Genomic DNA, 18,927 nt, shown 5'->3' with positions numbered 1-18,927 from the left:
GGAAAGGAATGTCCTTTTTTTTTTTTTTGAGATGGAGTCTCACTCTGTCGCCCAGGCTGGAGTGCAGTGGTGCGATCTTGGCTCACTGCAACCTCCACCTCCCAGGTTCAAGTGATTCTCCTGCTTCAGCCTCCAGAGTAGCTGGGATTACAGGTACACACCACCACGCCTGGCTAATTTTTGTATTTTTAGAAGAGATGGGCTTTTACCATGTTGGCCAGGCTGGTCTGGAACTCCTGACCTCAGGTGAGCCACCCATGGCCTCCCAAAGTGCTGGGATTACAGGCATGAGCCACCAAACCCAGCCCCAATGTCCTTATTTCTGAAGACACAGGGACACAGAGGGGGATCTGGACAAACAGTTTACTGCCATCAGATGGTACTAGTCCAGTCGTCCTGCATGACCGTCCATTCTTCATCAAACTTCACATGAAACTACACAGGCGTCCCTGTCTCTTTGGGTTTTTTTCTGAAGGCTCCCATGTCACATGAAACTTAAATGTGCATGCTTTTCTCTTGTTCATCTGCCTTTTGTTATCAGGGTCTCAGCCATAAACCTTACAATGGGTGAAGAAAAAATATTACTCCTCCCGCACAGGGGTCAGGATTCAGACCTAGGGTGGATATGGCAGGAGGTGGCAGGAAGCTCAGTAAGCAGCGATCCAGGAGAGGAGAGGCTCATTAGGGCCGGGTGAGGCTCAGAGGGCTGGAGAGGCCCAGACAGGAGTTCCAGGAAGGCCAGGGCCCTGCAGCCCTCACAGGCCTAAGAACCGCAGATGCTCTGTGCCTATGCCCATGCCTCTCATCCACAACATCCTGCCCCGCCAGCTCCTTCTACTACACTCTTCAAAACTCCATTCTGGCCAGGCACAGTAGCTCACGCCTGTAATCCCAGCACTTTGGGAGACCAAGGCGGCCGGATCACCTGAGGTCAGGAGTTCCAGACCAGCCTGGCCAACAGGGTAAAACCTCGCCTCTACTAAAAATACAAAAATTAGCCAGGCATAGTGGTATGTGCCTGTAATCCCAGCTACTCAGGAGGCTGACGCAGGAGAATCACCTGGACCTGGGAGGTGGAGGTTGCAGTGAGCCAAGATTGTACCACTGCACTCCCAGCCTGGGTGACAGAGAAAGACTCAGTACCCCCACCCCGCCACCGCCTTAAAAAAAAAAAAAAAAAAAAAGCTCCATTCAGGTGTGGTGGCTCACACCTGCAATCCCAGCACTTTGGCAGGCACAGGCAGGAGGATCCCTTGAGGCCAGGAGTTCAAGACCAGCCTGGGCAACACAGCAAGATCCCATCTGTACAAAAAAAACAAAAATTAGCTGGGCGTGATGGTGCACCTGCAGTCCCAAATACTTGCAAGGCTGAGGTGGGAGGATTGCTAGAACCCAGGAGGTTGAGGCTGCAGTGAGCTGTGATCATGCCACTGCACTCCAGCCTGGGGGACAGAGCAAGAACCTGTCCACGAAAAAAACAAAAAGACTCTATTCAGGCCAGACACAGTGGCTCACGCCTGTAATCCCAGCACTTTGGCAGGTCGAGGCAGGAGGATCCCTTGAGGCCAGGAGTTCAAGACCAGCCTGGGCAACACAGCAAGATCCCATCTGTACAAAAAAATTAAAAATTAGCTGGGCATGGTGGTGCACCTGCAGTCCCAGCTACTTAGGAAAGTGAGGCAGGAGGATCACTTGAGCCTGGGAGTTTGAGGTTACAGTGAGCTCCAGCCTGGGCAACAGAACGACACCCTGCCTCAGAAAAAAAAAACCCAAAAAATCCATTCAAAGGCATCTGTAGTAGGGCACCCGACCCCCTGACACAGTATGCCCTCCACTGAAGTCACCCCTGACCCGGCTCCTCCACCACTCCCGGGGGGCCTAAGCCAGGTGCCTGGGCATCAACCTGGACAACACTGTGGCTCCCATTATCCAGCCTGGCCCCAAGTCCTCCTTGCCTACTTCCCTCCACTCCCATGGCCACTGCTAGCCCAGGCCCCTGACTTTGCCGTATCAGCCTCCCAGCCAGTTCCTTCATCTCCAGCCTTGCTCCCCTTTAAATCATCTGTCCAGAGACACAAGGATTCCTCTAAAAATCAAAGCTTCAAAGAGAACAGATGGCAGTACACATATTTCATTTATTGCCAAACCAGATATTCCTCCCTCCACACGTATATGTGCTGCCGAAAAATGTTCTGGAAGAATGGTCACCAAAATGTTAGTAGAAATTATTTCAGGCCGATTTCACGTATTGATCAACAAAGATTTCCTGGCTCCTACTCCTGCCAGGATTACCAGGGGCACAGACACGAGGCTTCTGCCATAGGGGGTTTTCCTTCTAGAGGGAAACAACAGGAGGAAGTGGACACACAGAAGGGAGATGGACATTTACAAATCATGGCGAGTCCTGCAAGGGACATAAGCACATGGCTTTGACGGAGGACAACAGAAGGAGGCTCACTTCTGCCGGCCTCTCTGAGGAGGGTCCAGGGCAGCGGAGACCTGAAGGGTGAGAAGGAGTCAGCCCCGGGGAGCCCAGGGGAGGGGTGAGGCTTCAGCCGGAGGGAGCAGCCTATGCAAGGCCGGTGTGGTGGGCACCAGGTGGGCCAGGAGGAGAGGGCATGAGAGGACATGGGCGAGATGGGCAGGGCCCAATCCACAGCCCTGGCCAGGAGCCGTTGAAGGCTCCATACAGGGCCCTGGCTGGATCAGATTTGTTGATGGCCGTGGGTCAGGAAATGTGGCCTGAGGGGACACGGTGAGGCTGCTAAGAGGGCCAGGGCAAGCAGTTCAGGTGGGAGATGACGGTGGCTTCAACTAGGTGGTGGTGGCAGAAGTGAAGGAAGAGGGGACAGTCGGGGAGACGCCGGGGGTCAGTCCACACACTCAGCACCGGCTCCTGCTACCACACCCGCTCCGTCAGATTTGCTCCTGGCTCGAACCATCTGAGAACTCAGGTGAGGCTGGCTGCAAGGAAGCCAGACCCTCAGGCCCACACTGCCTTGGAGGCTGAGGCTGACTCCAGAGGCAGAGGTTGGGGTGCCAATGCCAGGCCCCACCCGCAGAGGATATGCCCTAAGATGGCATCGCCAAAACGGGAGACCAGCAAGTGGTCAATTGTGCCACCTGCCGGCCTGTACATTGCACTGCATGCAGACAAGAATGCATGGGGTGTGCCAACACTCCCAGCTAATTTTTAAATATTTTGTGTAGATGGGATCTTGCTGTATTGCCCAGGCCGGTCTTGAACTCCTGGCCTCAAGGGATCCTCCTGCCTTGGCCTCCCTAAGTGCTAGGATTACAGAAGTGAGCCACCGTGTCTGACCTGAATGGAGTCTTTTGTTTTTTTTGAAGACAGGGTCTTGCTCTGTCACCCAGGCTGAAGGAAGGGAACATGTGTCTCTGTGTTTGTGTGTGTAAATATATTCTCTACCCTACCCCAAAAATACATCTCCAGTCCCTCCATCCCACAACACAGCCCAGCTCCAGGCCACCATCCTATGCAGCCTCAACTATTGCAATGGCCTCCTCACTGGTGTGTTCACCACCACCCCTGCCCATGGACACTCCACCTGCAACATATAAGCCAGACCACACCAGTTCTCTGCTCAAAACCATCCCAGAACCGTGCTTATATCTAGTTCCAAATATTGTAAGAAGATACTCTGAGGTACTTAGAGAAATATTAACGTGGACTAGCTACTAGGTGATATGGAAGAATTATACCATTTTATCTATTTTTGTGTGTGTTTGAAACATTTTATAATGAAAATATTAATTTAAAATTAATTAATTTAAAAAACAAGGCCAGGAGCGGTGGCTCACGCCTGTAATCCCAGCACTTTGGGAGGCCGAGGCGGGCGAATCATGAGGTCAAGAGATGAAGACCATCCTGGCCAACATGGTGAAACCCCGTCTCTACTAAAAATGCAAATATTAGCCGGGCATGATGGCGCGTGCCTGTAATCCCAGCTACTTGGGAGGCTGAGGCAGGAGAATCGCTTGAACCCGGGAGGTGGAGGTTGCAGTGAGCTAAGATTACACCACCGCACTCCAGCCTGGGCACTGCAGCAAGACTCTGTCTCAATCAATCAATCAATCAATCAGTCAATCAATAACAAGAGCATACCACAGACAGCGGAGCTGTGCAAAGGCCCTGGCGCAGGAGCACGCCTGAGCCTGAAGGCCAGTGGAGCTGAGTGGGCAGGTGGAGGCAATGAGGTCAGGAAGGCAGCAGGCCCGGCCCACAGAGGCCCTCCTGGCCCTGGTGAGGTGACCCCCTGATATCCTCCTGCCATCAGGACTCAATAAAACAAGATCTGAATGAAACACATATCTTATACACCAAGCTTGTCCAACTCACAGCCCATGGGCCTCATACAACCCAGGACAGCTCTGAATGTGGCCCAACACAAATTCATAAACTTTCTTATAACATTATGAGACTTTTTTGTGATTTTTATTTAGCTCATCAGCTATTGTTAGTGTCAGTGTATTTTATGTGTGACTCAAGACAATTCTTCTTCTTCCTATGTGGCCCAGGGAAGCCAAAAGATTGGACACCCCAATATACACTAAGTGATACCACCACCAATGCAGACAGATAGCCTCAGCAAACAGCTCCAAGCAAACTTCTGCCACACGGCCCCATTCAAAGCACTGAACCCAAGACTGAAACTTCCCCTTCACGTCAGACATTCCCGGAGGCCCCTTTTTCCGGCCTGCAGGGAGCTCCAGGACTTGTCTAGAAATGTACACAGTGCACTGTTTGGTTAAAAAGGCACTGGACGGCCGGGCGCGGTGGCTCATGCCTGTAATCCCAGCACTTTGGGAGGCCGAGGTGGGCGGATCACGAGGTCAAGAGATCGAGACCATCCTGGCCAACATGGTGAAACCCCATCTCTACTAAAAATACAAAAATTAAGCCGGGCATGGTGGCTCACGCCTGTAATCCCAGTACTTTGGGAGGCCAAGGTGGGTGGATCACAAGGTTGGGAGATCGAGACCATCCTGGACAACATGGTGAAACCCCGTCTCTACTAAAATATGAAAAAAAATTAACCGGGCATGGTGGCGCACACCTGTAGTCCCAACTACCTGGGAGGCTGAGGCAGGGGAACTGCTTGAACCCGAGAGGCGGAGGTTGCAGTGAGCCGAGATTGTGCCACTGCACTCCAGCTTGGCAACACAGTGAGACTCCGTCACAAAAAAACAAAAAATAAAAATAATAAAAATTAAAAAATGAAAAATAAAAATACAAAAATTAGCTGAGCACGGGGGCACGTGCCTGTAGTCCCAGCTACTAGGGAGGCTGAGGCAGGAGAGTCACTTGAACCTGGAAGGCGGAGGTTACAGTGAGCCGAGATTGCGCCACTGCACTCCAGCCTGGTGACACAACAAGATTCCGTCTCAAAAACAAAACAAAACAAAAAAAGGCACTGGACATATAATGAGGCCCAAGATAAAACTCCAGCTCAAGTGTCTGCTCTAAGACAGTCACTTCCCCTCCCTAAGCTTCGGGTTTCCCATCTGTAAAATGAGGAGTTGGACGAAATTAGCCTTATCATCTCAGGATTGAAATTTCCCCTGAAAAACAACCAGGACAGAAAGGGACAGACATGGGTCTAAATGGCCCTCTGTTTCTGCCCCAACCCCACCCTGGCCTCACCCAGTCTCTCCCCAATACAGGCCTTAAATCTCCTGCTGTTCCCCCAAAAAGACTCTCCTGGGGCTCAATCTTCAGCCTGTGCAGAAGCAAAATGTCAGAGCCCCAAAGGCTCAAGGTAAAGACTAGGGGCCGGAGGAAAACTGCAGGGGCAAGAGCCACCCAGCAGGAAGACTCCGCGAGAGAACATACCTACCAGTTTATCCACAGTAAACGGCACAGTAGAAGCCACACAGTAAAAGAACAGAAGTGGGCCAGGCGCGGTGGCTCGTGCCTGCAATCCCAGCACTTTGGGAGGCCGAGGCGGGCTGATAACCTGAGATCAGGAGTTCGAGACCAGCCTGACCAACACAGAGAAACCCCGTCTCTACTAAAAATACAAAATTAGCCGAGCATGGTGGTGCGTGCCTGTAATCCCAGGTACTCGGGAGGCTGAGGCAGGAGAATCACTTGAACCCGGGAGGCAGAGGTTGTGGCGAGCCGAGATCGCACCATTACACTCCAGCCTGGGCAACAAGAGTGAAACTCTGTCACAAAAAGAAAAAAAGAAAAAAAACCAGAAGTGGTGGCTTTTGATAACTGGGTCAGGGAATGGCGATTGAATAAGGAGGGGGCCCCTCAGGACTCCAACCTTCTTTATAATGTTTTCATTTTTTACATGGACAATGCATTTAATACATACTTGTGTGATTAATTGGTTTTTCTTTTTTTTTTTTTTTTTGAGACGGAGTCTCACTGTGTCCCCCAGGCTGGAGTGCAGTGGCGCAATCTCGGCTCACTGCAAGCTCCACCTCCTGGGTTCACACCATTCTCCTGCCTCAGCCTCCCGAGTAGCTGGGACTACAGGTGCTTACCACCACGCCCGGCTAATTATTATTATTATTATTATTATTATTGTATTTTTAGTAGAGACGGGGTTTCGCCATGTTAGCCAGGATGGTCTCGATCTCCTGACCTCATGATCCACCCACCTCGGCTTCCCAAAGTGCTGGGATTACTGGCGTGAGCCACCGCGCCCGGTGACTAACTAGTTTTTCAAAAGAAAAGAAAAAACTTCACTCTAGGGTAGAGGAATCTAGACTGAAGGAAACAGATTGGAACCATCTGCAAAGAACCAATGCTGCCAGTTACTGAACACATACCACAGAGGATTCCCTCATGCAACCCTTCAGGAAGTGAGGTACGTGCTTTCACACCCTTTCACAGATGAGGGAACTGAGGGTCACAGAGGAGAAAGTAACTCACAGTCATCCCTTCATTCAGAAAACATTTCACTGACTGCCAATCACTCTGTGCTGGCTTCTATGCTGAGTTTTGCATATAGATTGGGAGATAAAAGAGGCTGCTGTGTTCTCACCGTGCTGCTGCTGGCAATGCTGGAAAAACTAAACCCCAGAGTCCATACACCAACCACCATCTGCCACTGTCAGCCCCCATGGTCCACTCACCACCCCCCTCCCTTCCAGCCCCACCGCCTTAGCCAGGAGAGAAGCACTTCTTACCTGGGTTTCTTAGAGGCTTTGGCTGGCAATATTGTCAGCACCAGAGAGGACTTCTCGATGGCTGAACAGGAGACTACCACATTCATCTGGGGGATGAACTTGACCTGCTCACACCAGTTGGGATGGAGAGCCTGGGAAGACAGTAGCAATGGTGGGAGACTCCACCCAAGGACAACTTTCTAGGCCCAGCCCCCAGAACATGACCAGGTGCTGGGACTGGAGGTGCCCAGAGATCACGGAGTCTAATGCCCTTCTCCTAGTGATCACAAAGTGATGTGGCCCCGCAATCCTAGCCCAGGTCCTATGACCAGCACTGGCCATCTCTCGTCACTGAAAATTTTTAAAAGCACACAAGCCTACTTTCATTTGAAATCTTGTGAGTTAGAGGATGGGGAAGGTCAGGCCCATACTAATCATCTCCCACGAGGAGAGAAAGGATGAATTCAAGTCTGTCCAGGCCACAATCTAGTTATCCACAGGGAGCCCCCTCTACAGATGGGCTGTGCTCCCAGCCCACTGCCACCCTCCATGTTTGTCATAGCGTGGAGTGCTCAAGGAAGCGCGGAGGGCATGAGAATGTGCATTTCACGGCAACTTGAACCACAAAAGATGACGCGCAGTCGAAGGGGCTGGCTGGGCTCTGAATTCTCCGGCGCCAACTCTGTGACCTGGACCAGTGCTTGGCCTCCCAATCTAGAGATTTTCCTCTCTGTGACGAGAATGGAAAAGGCGGGTTGGAGAGATTGGCTCATCAAATATTTCTTTGGTGCTTTCTACATGCAAGACCCTGAGCTGGGTTTTACACACACTGTCACCAAGCATCTGTCGCAATGAAGGCACCGAATCCAAGACACTGAGTGAGACCTGGAGGGAAAACCAAGCCCAAGATGAGCTTCCCACAGAAGACAGAAGAGCGGGTGCAGTGGCTCACACCTGTAAACCCAGCACTTTGGGAGGCCAAGGTAGGTAGACCAGCCTGGGCAACATAGTGAGGCCCCGTCTCAAAAAAAGAATTAAAAAATTAGCTGGGTGTGGTGCTTGTATTCCCAGCTACTCGGGGGCCTGAGGTGGGAGGATCACCTAAGCCCGGGAGGTCAAGGCTGCAGTGAGCCATGATCGCACCACTGCATGCCAGCCAGGGCAGCAGAGTAAGGCCCTGACTCAACCAAAAAAAAAAAAAAAAAGTCAGTGCAGGCCTGTTGGATCACCCAGACCGCCCTGAGTGCGTCATTCATTCATTCATTTGTGCAGCAAATGTATTGGGAGCCCACCAAGCGCAGGGTACTATTTTAGGCACTGGAGACAACCGAGAGCACGAAGCCGCTGCCGTTGAGGAGCTGTCGATCTCGTGAAGGTGACAGCATGAGGAATCAATGGTCGGACCACACAAAGCTGGGAGCTGGTAAACACTGCGGGTGAAGGGATGAAAGCAGAGGTGGGCACAGGGTTGTCCTAGGAGGGCTGCTTGGGACCACAGGAAGTAGATAGGGGGAATACAGGTACCTTAGGGGAGAGCCCCGCGGCCTGAAGGCGCAGCACATGCCGAGGCACAGAGGCGGGAAGGGGCTGAGCCCATTCAGGGAACAGCAGAGGAGCCTGCGTCTCTGCAGGAGAGCAGATGGGGAGAAGGAAGGTTGAAAACAAGCCCAGAGCTTGCAAGCAGGAGCCAGATCACCTCACGTCCTGACGGCCATGGTAAGGACTTGAGATTTTGTTCCAAATGTGATGAGAAGCTACCGGGGTGACTCAACTGTATTTCTAACTCATCATTCCTCTGGCCCTGAATGGAGACAGTGCTGCATGAAGAAAGGAAGTGGGGAACCCAGCTAGAGGCCACTGCAGCCATCCAGGAGCGAGGCGGTGTCGGCCAGGACCAGGGCTTAGCAATGGCGGTAGTGAGAGGGGCATGGCCACAGAGATGTGGTCTGCAGATAGAGCTGACGGGATCCAACAGCTGCCGCAACCTGTTTCCAGAGACCAAACCCCAAGGGCTAAGACTGAACCCAGGGAGTAAATCCACTTTTTGCATTTATTTTGAGTGGTGTGTGTGTACAGATAATTACCATTGTAACAGGCCAAGGAAAGAAAAAACTCACCTTCAGCCGGTAGCTTCTATGCAAAGCAGACTTCTCATTTAAGAGTTTCTGCAAGGAAACTTTGATCCAGTGATCTGATAGGGGAAAAAACCAAGGTCCACATCAGCAGCTTTCCCCCTTCGCTTGGCAAGCAAAGCCTCAGAAGACGTCTTGAGTTGGCTTGCAACTCCTGTGCTTCTCAAAAGGCTTTTCCACCCAAACCCTCACTGGCACCTCACTGTGTCCTGGTGAGCTGAGCGGAGTGCCCCCACCCCAGGAAAAAGACTCAGGCAGATCACTGCTGCCTCCCAGAGTGCCCCTGCCAGTGCATGGCAGAACTAGAACCAGATTTCAGGGCACCTCACGCTTCCTAGGTGCTGCAATCTAAACAAGCTAATTCTTCATTAGGGAGCTCCATCTTTGCTGGAGTGGAGAAGGAATTGAGACTCTAGGCTCTTTTTGTTCTGAAAAGTAATCACTTGGGAGTTTGCCATCATGCCTCAAACTACATGCACCCCTTGTCCAGAAAGCACAGGTTCCAAAAAGTAGAAGTTCCAGGCATGCATCATAAAATAAGCATGTCTGGGCCAGGCGCAGTGGCTCACACCTGTAATCCCAGCACTTTAGGAGGCTCAGGTGGGAAGGTCACTTGAGGCCAGGAGTTAAGAGACCAGCCTGGGCCAGGCACGGTGGCTCACGCCTGTAATCCCAGCACTTTGGGAGGGCGAGACGGGCAGATGACCTGGGGTCAGGAGTTCAAGACCAGCCTGGCCAGCATAGTGAAACCCTGTCTTTACAAAAATACAAAAATTAGCCGGGCATGGTGGTGTGTGCCTGTAATCACAGCTACTCAGGAGCCTGAGGCGGGAGAATCACTTGAACCCGAAAGGCAGAGGTGGCAGTGAGCCAAGATCGCACCATTGCACTCCAGCCTGGGCAATAGAGCAAGACTCTGCCTTAAAAAAAAAAAAAAGAAAGAAAGAAAGAAAAAAGATACCAGTCTGGACAACACAGTGAGAACCCATCTCTACAAAAAAAAATCAAAAAAATAAAAAATTAGCCAGAAGTGGTGGTGGCGTGCCTGTGGTCCCAGCTACTTGGGAGGCTAAGGTGGGAGGATCACTTGAGCCCAAGAGATTAAAGCTGTAGTGAGCCATGATCATACCACTACACTCCAGCCTGGGCAACAGAGTATGACCTTGTCTCAAAATGTAAAAAAAAAAAAAAAAAAAAAATCTTAAATAAAATAAAACAAGCCTGTCTGGAGGAATTCAGGCAAGCCAGGTGCAGCCCTCATGGGGCTTAGCATCTCCCGGCTGCTGAAACCATTCAAGGCCAGCAGTTGATGGATCTTCAGGGAAAGCAAAGCCAGTCTGACACAGACGAGTAGAGCCAGCACCGTCAGGGACAAACATGGGTCCTCCGTCAGAGCAGTTTAAGGAGGCGGTCACAAATGCTGGGGCAGTCTAGGCTCAGGTTCCCTCCCAGGGATGGAGGAGGGAAGAGACAGCAAGGATGGATCTGGCGGCTCATGCCAAACATTGTACTGCTGCAAAGTCACCAGCCCCATCTTGCAAGGGCAGGAGGAAGCTTGCAAAGTAAGTCCCAGGGAGGGGTGGAAAGTTGCCCAAGACTGCCAGAGTGGGGCTGGTTGTGCACAGGCACAGGCAGAAGTCAGCTTTATGATGCGCTGTGGTTTAATCATCAGTTTACCTGCCTGTCTCTCCTACTAGGCTGTGAGGGAGGGCAGGGAAGAAGTCATAGCATAGTCACTGTGCACTTACTAGGTGCCTAACGTTCCACGTTTCTTATACCAAAGCTATCAGGGAAGTAGGGCCATCCCTATTTGAATAAGGGAACTGAGGCACAGAAAGGTTAAGCAACTGGCTCCAGGTCACACAGAGCTGGGGTACATACCTGGGTCTGTCCATCTCCTCCCAAGTCCATACACTGGGCCCACCTCATCGTCATGTTTGTCCCTAGCCTTCAATCACTTGTTGGCATGGAAGGACTCCTGCCCAAACAGTATCATCTGCCTCTCTCAATATCCCATTCACCATGTGGCTCAAAGACCACCACAACCTCCCGTGCCAGTTCCCACGGTGGCGCAGAGTGACTAGGCTCAAGCAGCTAAGTGGGCAGCTCAGGGCAGGGCAGGCACCCGAGGCCAATGAGGCAAGCAGGGTGCCAGCCCACTGCTGTGTCCAGGACAGGATCTGTCCCTGCTCTGCCAGCAGGGGACGCTGCCCCAACAAGCCTGCCAGGGGCCTGTTACCAAGGCCTGGGAACCCCTGGAGTGTCCTGCTTAGTAACTCTGGCTGGAAGAGGGGGTTGGTGGCCCTGCATGGGGCCCCTGGTGGCCTGGGCCTCCTGGTGGATGTGAGGCAACCTGGAGAGCCAGCACTGTGCATGCAAGGCTGGATTCTAGACAGGCTCCAGTTCAGATGAGTTCCCTAGGCGGCCCTGAGCCGTATCCTCTGGGGATCTAGCGACCTGGGCAGAACAGCTCCAATGACTTCCTCCTGCTATTAATCAGTGTGGGATGCAGCCCAGCAAAAGGCTAAAAGCACAGACTCCAGGGCAGGCAGCCGGACTTCAGATCTTAGCCCCCACTCACCAGGCAGGGGCGTGTACAGGTGACCTTACCCTTTCTGCCTCTTATTATGGGCTGCAGCAGCGGCTCCTCCCTCCTGACAGTAGGGGCGGATTATGGGAGGTGATGCATGCAAAGCGCTCAGCAAGGGGTGCTCCAGACTCAGCTGTGCCCACTCACCCATGCCAGCCAGGCCATGCCCAGGCTCCACAGAGCCCACATCCAGGACAGCCCCTGCCCACCCAAAGGCAGCACTAGAGCCAAGGAGAGCACATGCCTCCTCGCCACCATCCGAGGAAGTTAGTTAGCATCAGTGCTCTCACCCAGGATCAGAGTGGATGAAGGACTTCCCCAGGGTCCCACCACTGGCATCATGCTGGGGTGAGAAGTGTCCTGCACCCCCAGACCGCACCCGCACAGCCTCCCATCCTCAGAGAGGCCACCCCTCTCCCCAGCCCTCGTGGTCTTCTGCTGCCCCCCATCGCCTCTCCCTCTGTGCTGAGCTGAGCGGCATGCACCCTGCGCTTGGAAGCAGACGCCTTCCCAGAGACTCCAGAGCAGAGGCAGGGAGTGGGGGGCTCGGGGACCAGGATGACCTCAGCACCCACATCTAGGCCATGCCCAGGCCTCTGCCCCCTTCCCCAGCATCTTAGCTACCCCACTTGGAGGCCCTGGGGAGGATACGGGGGTTGAACAGCCCACTGGTCATGTTTTCGGAGGTGAAGACAATGACGTTGCCTTTGGCGTCTCCATAGCAGAACACACCTCTGTGATAGTCAGACCTGCAGAAAGATGGAGACGGAAGAGGTTGTGTGGGCTGGGCGCGGTGGCTCACACCTGTAAGACCAGCACTCTGGGAGGCCAAGGTAGGTTAATCACCTGAGGTCAGGAGTTCGAGACCAGCCTGGCCAACGTGGTGAAACCTCATCTCTACTAAAAATACAAAAATTAGCCAAGCGTGGTGGCGGGCACCAGTAATCCCAGCTACTCAGGAGGCTGAGGCAGGAGAATCACTTGAACCCGGCAGGTGGAGGCTGCAGTGAGCTAAGATGGCACCACTGCACTCCAGCCTGGGACACAGAGTGAGACTCTGAGTCATAAAAAAAAGAAAAAAAAAAAAAAAAGAGGCTGTGGAGCCTCCACTCCCTCCCTGGCCCCCCAACAGCTTCCCTCCTCCTTGGAAGCAAGGGCAGTTCCAACAACACTTTCCGGCCTTGCCCAGACACCTGAGGAGCCAACAAACACGGGCCCAGGAGACCAGGTCCAGCCCATCACTGAACCAGAATTCAACTTTTTTCTCAATCAAAATAAATGAATCCCTAGTCCTCCAGCTGCCCTTTGTTAAGTCACCCCTCGCAATAGACTGTGATGTCCCCAGAGTCCTCAGCCACAGCCAGACAAGCCTCTGCTGGGATTTGGTGGCTGTCTTGGGTGGGGGAGTGACAATGACTCCAAGCTCTGAGTGACCATGAGAGGTGACCCTGAGAGAGAAGCAGCCTGGTGGGGAGGAAGACACAGGGGCCTTGGAGCCAGTGGGGAGATATTTCCAGATCTTTCCAAGGAGGCTTTCTGGGGGCCCCAACCCTAGTCAGTGATGCGGCTGCTGCAGGAGGCCTGGGCCTCCTGGTTCATGTGAGGAACACCCAGTGGAGACTCACCAGTAGTCCATGACCAGAGCACAGCTGTCCAGATCAACAAAGGTGAAGGCCCGGACACATTTGTGGTCACTAATATCAAAGAAATCTGGGGGAAAGACAGAAGGCCACATAGAGCCCACAGCCATGCCTGGGAGGTCTTCAGTCACAGTGAGCAGCCTCATTGCTATCCCAAGGAATCTCTGGCCCCTTCAGCCCTTTTTCCCCCATGGCAACCACAGACAGCTGTTCACAGAGTAAACCCACCCACCGGGAACCCCACTGAAAATCCCCAAAGGCTTCCAACTGCAGCTGGAATAAAATCCCAGGCCAGGTGCAGTGGCTCATGCCCATGATCCCAGCACTTAGGGAGGCTAAGGCAAGAGGACTGCTTGAGCCTAGGAGTTTGAGACTGCAGTGAGCAGTGATTGTACCACTGCACTACAGCCTGGGTGACAGAGCAAGACCCTGTCTCAATTAAAAAAAAAAAAAAACTGACTCCTTCCAACAGATCCAGCCTCACTTCCAGCCTCTGATGAGCAACAGCCTCACCGTCATGTTGTCTCCCGCATCTGAACGGCAGCCTCTCGCCCTCCTCTGCCTCTCTACGTGGCCGGCCACCCCAGAGGGCTGTAGGTCACAAAAGGAGCACTGGCTGGACTGGGCTGGGGCCACAAAGGCCGGGGATCACACTGTTGCCACTTCCACCTCTGCTTTTGGCCTTGTCTGAGTACCTCCGAGCAGATGACAGCTGCTCCATCAGGACAGCAGTGATGACATAATTATCTCTAAAATGGGGTTCTAGGCTGGCTGCAATGGCTCACACCTGTAATCCCAGCACTGTGGGAGGCTGAGGCAGGTGGATCACCTGAGGTCAGGAGATGGAGACTAGCCTGGCCAACATGGTGAAACCCCATCTCTACTAAAAATACAAAAATTTGCTGGGTGTGGTAGCGCGCACCTGTAATCCCAGACACCTGATGAGCCAACAAACACGGGCCCAGCAGACCAGGTCCAGCCCATCATCGAACCAGAATTCAATATTTTTTTTTCAACCAAAATAAATGAATCCCTAGTTCAGCTACTCAGGAGGCTGAGGCAGGAGAATCTCTTGAACCCGGGAGGCAGAGGTTGCAGTGAGCCGAGATTGTGCCACTGCACTCCAGCCTGGGTGACAGAGTGAGACTGTCTCAAAAAAATAAAAAATAAATGGGGTTTTAACACCAAATTCTCAGGGCTGTCTGAGGATAAAGGGTGAGGAAGCCTGGGACAGCACTGGGTCCCCAGGAAACAGATGTTGCAGTGGAAAGCCCAGGCGGGTCACAGATAGATTGCTCTAGCCCTTGCTGACGGCTGACCACTTTCTCTGTATCACACAATTTAGCCTCATAATGATGTCAGTGTTGATTAACTGCCCACTATGTGCCAGGCACTATGCCAGCAGCTTCACACACCTAACTACTAAGCCACACTCACCCTGGAGTCATGTATCATAGGCCCCATTTTACCTCTGGGTAAAGCGAGGCACTGGGAGGTAAAGCAATTGCTCATAGGCAGACATCTACAGAGCAGTGGGACCAGGCCCTGAACCCAGGTCCTTTTTATTCCAGTCCCTGCTTGTTCCAGAACAGCCACTCTCTCTCCTCCCATTCAGCCTCACATCACCAGCTGTCATTTCATGTACTAATTCCCTCTCCCTGACCACCTTACAGGTCTGCTCAGTCAGAGGCCTCATTCATCATCCATCCATTCAATAGTCATCGAGCATCCAGAAGGTACCAGGCACTGAGACACTGAGTTGAGCAGAACAGATGCAGTCCCTGACCTTCCAGTCTGGAGGAGGAGACATGTGCTAAACAGAAGCAAACTAATACATGTGAGATGACACTGAAAGGGGACCTTGAAGGGAAGAGGTACAATCTCATGGGGTCTTTTTAACAGAGGATCTTGGACTAGAGGGTCAGGGAGGGCTTCCTGGAGGAAGTAACTTCTGAGATGAGAGCCAAAAGAAAAGCAGAGGCTGTTGGGGCAGAGAGAGGGGCAGGAGGGATGGCAGAGCACAGAGACCCAGGCCACAGCACCTACCAGAGGAGACCACAGTGGCCTCAGCACCACAGGGAGGGGACAGGTGGAGACTACTGGAGGCGGCAGGGCTCAGACCTCTGAAGGCCTCACAGACCACACTGAGGATCCCACCTCCATCCTAAGAACACTGGGGTAGGGTGAAGGCTTTCTGCAGAGGGCACTGTAATGCACATCCTGCCTTTGGGGGCATCAGGGAAGCGCGGCATGCAGGAGAGGCTTTTTTTTTTTTTTTTTTTAAGACTGAGTCTCTCTCTGTCGCCCATGCTGGAGTGCAATGGCGCGATCTCAGCTTACTGCAACCTCCACCTCCAGGTTCAAGCGATTCTCCTGCCTCAGCCTCCTGAGTAGCTGGGATTACAGGCGTGTGCCACCACTCCCAGGTAACTTTTGTATTTTTAGTAGAGGCGGGGTTTCACCATGTTGGCCAGGCTGGTCTTGAACTCCTGACCTCAGGTGATCCGCCTGCCTCGGCCTCCTGAAGTGCTGGTATTACAGGAGTGAGCCACCACACCCGGCCAGGAGAGGCTATTTAAGTGACAGTGAAGGGGGCCTGGACTAGGAGTGGCAAGAGGCAGGAGGTAGAATCAGGACCAGAGATGGACCAGTATGGCCTCTGGCTTGTAAATTTGGGTCTGTTCAACATCACTGTATTCATTCGAGCATTCACCGACCACCCCCTGCCTACTTGGCACTAAGGCCTCTCCACCTGGCTATCCTCCCAGGGGGCTCTGATCCATGTTCACAGTTGCTCAGCCAACAGACTTCTCCCAGGCACAAATGCATGGCTCCCAGTGGCTGAGAGCAGAGCTGGGAAGCCCCCAGGGACTCACCTATCTTTTGCCTGGTAGACGCAACTGCAACGAGGTTCATATTGTGCAGACATACCATGTCAATGACCCACATCGGCTGGTTGTAGAGCTGCTGGGTCTGGTTAAGCTGGCCAGAGGAAGAGCAGAGGAGATGGGCTGGGACGCATACTCAGGCCAGTGCAGCTCCCCATGAACCTCTCCTGCCACACAAGGCCTGGAGCCACCACAGACCTGGCATGGAGCCTAGCACTACCACTAAGTCTAGTGATAGGGGCCTTGGATAAACTCCCTAGCCTCCCTGGGTCTCAGTTTCCACATTCGTAAAATGGGCTTAAAGAACACCTTCTTTAAAACCCCTTTCTGGAGCAGTCTCACAGTTCTATCAAAGTCTTGCCGCAGTGAGCCGTGAACACACCACTGCACTCAAGCCTGGGCAAGAGTGAGACCCTGTCCGCCCCCCGCCCCCCACAAAAAAAACCAACCAAACTCTTGAATATGCATAGCTCATGATCCAGGGATCTGTTTCCAAGACATTTCTATGGGTGTGTTTGCACCTACTCAAAGGGGACACTGCAGCTGCTATTAGAGCAACAGGCCAGAAGCCACCTGGAAAGCACAGCTGATTATCAACCCACACCATGGACACCACCCAGACATTAAGAACAAAGGAACTGTGCCCATGCCAATAAAGAGCTGCCAAGAGACATGATTAAGTGACAAACCAAGGTAAAAAGCAACATTATAATATGCTTCCATTATCGCATTTAAAAAGAAAAGGGCACAGTGGCTCACGCCTGTAATCTCAGCACTTTCAGAGGCCAAGGTGGGAGGATCACTTGAGCCCAGGAGTTCGAGACCAGCCTGGGCAACATAGGGAGACCCCATCTCTACAAAATTAACAAAAAAGGCTGGGCGCAGTGGCTCACACCTGTAATCCCAGCACTTTGGGAGGCCAAGGTGGGCAGATCACTAGGTCAGGAGTTCGAGACCAGCCTGGCCAATGTTGAAACCCCGTCTGTACTAAAAATACAAAAGTTAGCTGGGCGTGGTGGTGCTCACCTGTAATTCCAGCTACTCGGGAGGCTGAGGCAGAAGAATCACCTGAACCCGGGAGGCAGAGGCTGCAGTGAGCTGAGATCACACCACTGCACTCCAGCCCGGGTGACAGAGCAAGACTCCATCTCAAAAAAGAAAAAATTAGCTGGACACGGTGGTGCATGCCTGTAGTCCCAGCTACTTGGGAGGCTGAGGTGGAAAGATCCCTTGACCCCAGGAGGTTGAGGCTGCAGTGAGCCGTGATTGCACCACTCCACTCCAGCCTGGGTGACAGAGCAAGACCCAGTCTCAAAAAAAAAAAGAAAGAAAAGGGGGATATGTAGAGAGGATAGCCATGGAAGAGCACCCCAAAACTGGTCATAGCATTTGCCTGCAGGGAGAGGAAGTAGGAACTCAGGGAAGGAAGACTGACTTCCCCTGTCTGCCCCTCCATAGGTCTGAATCCTATTTTCCATCTGCAGATGTCACCTGGTCAAATTGGCTTACTAACCGATAATTTGTTCTGCAAAGTTGCGAGGAATGAATGGAATAATGAAAGTTGAAGCATTGAGGGTGGTGCCCAGCACTCAGTAGGAGCTCAGCACTGGTGCATCCTGCACTCGTGTAGCATGTGCACAGACAGAATGTGAGCTGGCACTCCAGGCAGGGAAAGCCACGAGCAGAGCCAGGTCAGCAGAAATGAGCTGCTGTGTCCTGGGGAAGAGGGAGGCCAGCCCACTCGGCTTAGAGTTGGAGAGGAACCAGAGATGAGGTAGGTGTGGCCACCTAAGGAATCTGTATTTTACTCTCTTTTTATTGAGACGGAGTCTCGCTCTGTCGCCCAGGCTAGAGCACAGTGGTGCGATCTCGGCTCACTGGAACCTCTGCCTCCGGGTTCCAGTGATTCTCGTGCCTCAGCCTCCCAAGTAGCTGGGATTACAGGGGTGCGCCACTACGCCTGGCTAATTTTTGTATTTTCAGTAGAGACGGGGTTTCACCATGGTGGCCAGTCTGGTCTCAAACTCCTGACCTCAAGTGATCCGCCTGCCTCAGCCTCCCAAAGTGCTGGGATTACAGGCGTGAGCCTCCGCGCCTGGCGCTGTATTTTACTCTTTGAATGACACCACAGGCTCTGAACTGAAGAAAGCAGAAAGAAGTACGATCTGAAAAGCTGGGAGGAAGGAGCAGGGAGGAGCGTAAACCAATTCCTCTAGATGGATAATCAGAAGGGATAGGGAAGGCAGGGGCAGAGAGGAGCCTGTTCCATCAGAACTCAGAGAGCACCAAGAGCACAGAGGACTGCGCTCTCGGGCTCCCCAGGTGGTTCTGGCGGTGAAGACAATGGACCAGAACCCTCCTAAGCCCCTCTCTCCTGCCCAGGGCTGGAGTCTAACCCCCACACACCAGTAGCTTGGTAACTCCCAACCCTTGCACTATTCAGAGAAACCAAGAGCCCTAGGGAGTTTCAGTGACCTGCACCCAAGATCACATAGCTCTTGAGTGGAACTCAGGCCCCGCCTCAAACTTGAGGT

At 52.7% G+C, this 18,927-nt stretch overlaps 1 protein-coding gene across 7 annotated transcripts in view, besides 6 other annotated features; it reads right to left on the bottom strand.

Moving 5' to 3' along the window:
- Positions 1–18,927, bottom strand: part of EFCAB8 (EF-hand calcium binding domain 8) — a 102,923-nt gene that overhangs the window by 56,058 nt on the left and 27,938 nt on the right. For all 7 annotated transcript variants that reach the window (NM_001143967.2, XM_024451883.2, XM_024451882.2 and 4 more), the window contains 5 exons: positions 16,382–16,487; positions 13,491–13,575; positions 12,490–12,614; positions 9,261–9,334; positions 7,165–7,295 (listed from right to left, as the gene is read on the bottom strand). In NM_001143967.2, coding sequence (NP_001137439.1) covers positions 7,165–7,295; positions 9,261–9,334; positions 12,490–12,614; positions 13,491–13,575; positions 16,382–16,487 — 521 coding nt within the window. The remainder of the gene's footprint in view (positions 1–7,164; positions 7,296–9,260; positions 9,335–12,489; positions 12,615–13,490; positions 13,576–16,381; positions 16,488–18,927) is intronic.
- Positions 10,606–11,117: an enhancer, noted in NCBI's record as "H3K27ac hESC enhancer chr20:31482477-31482988 (GRCh37/hg19 assembly coordinates)". NCBI's record gives its function as "activates a minimal SCP1, AML or CMV promoter by ChIP-STARR-seq in primed H9 embryonic stem cells {active_cell/tissue: H9 hESC(primed)}" and the evidence as "EXISTENCE:reporter gene assay evidence [ECO:0000049][PMID:30033119]".
- Positions 11,118–11,629: an enhancer, noted in NCBI's record as "H3K27ac-H3K4me1 hESC enhancer chr20:31481965-31482476 (GRCh37/hg19 assembly coordinates)". NCBI's record gives its function as "activates a minimal SCP1, AML or CMV promoter by ChIP-STARR-seq in primed H9 embryonic stem cells {active_cell/tissue: H9 hESC(primed)}" and the evidence as "EXISTENCE:reporter gene assay evidence [ECO:0000049][PMID:30033119]".
- Positions 11,630–12,141: an enhancer, noted in NCBI's record as "H3K27ac-H3K4me1 hESC enhancer chr20:31481453-31481964 (GRCh37/hg19 assembly coordinates)". NCBI's record gives its function as "activates a minimal SCP1, AML or CMV promoter by ChIP-STARR-seq in primed H9 embryonic stem cells {active_cell/tissue: H9 hESC(primed)}" and the evidence as "EXISTENCE:reporter gene assay evidence [ECO:0000049][PMID:30033119]".
- Positions 12,142–12,654: an enhancer, noted in NCBI's record as "H3K27ac-H3K4me1 hESC enhancer chr20:31480940-31481452 (GRCh37/hg19 assembly coordinates)". NCBI's record gives its function as "activates a minimal SCP1, AML or CMV promoter by ChIP-STARR-seq in primed H9 embryonic stem cells {active_cell/tissue: H9 hESC(primed)}" and the evidence as "EXISTENCE:reporter gene assay evidence [ECO:0000049][PMID:30033119]".
- Positions 13,192–13,931: an enhancer, noted in NCBI's record as "H3K27ac hESC enhancer chr20:31479663-31480402 (GRCh37/hg19 assembly coordinates)". NCBI's record gives its function as "activates a minimal SCP1, AML or CMV promoter by ChIP-STARR-seq in primed H9 embryonic stem cells {active_cell/tissue: H9 hESC(primed)}" and the evidence as "EXISTENCE:reporter gene assay evidence [ECO:0000049][PMID:30033119]".
- Positions 17,952–18,793: an enhancer, noted in NCBI's record as "H3K27ac-H3K4me1 hESC enhancer chr20:31474801-31475642 (GRCh37/hg19 assembly coordinates)". NCBI's record gives its function as "activates a minimal SCP1, AML or CMV promoter by ChIP-STARR-seq in naive H9 embryonic stem cells {active_cell/tissue: H9 hESC(naive)}" and the evidence as "EXISTENCE:reporter gene assay evidence [ECO:0000049][PMID:30033119]".

Source organism: Homo sapiens, chromosome 20, assembly GCF_000001405.40.
Source record: "Homo sapiens chromosome 20, GRCh38.p14 Primary Assembly".
Classification (NCBI taxonomy): domain Eukaryota; kingdom Metazoa; phylum Chordata; class Mammalia; order Primates; family Hominidae; genus Homo; species Homo sapiens.
The sequence above is the reverse complement of the archived record's forward strand: the minus strand, read 5'-3'. Positions and strand labels throughout refer to the sequence as shown.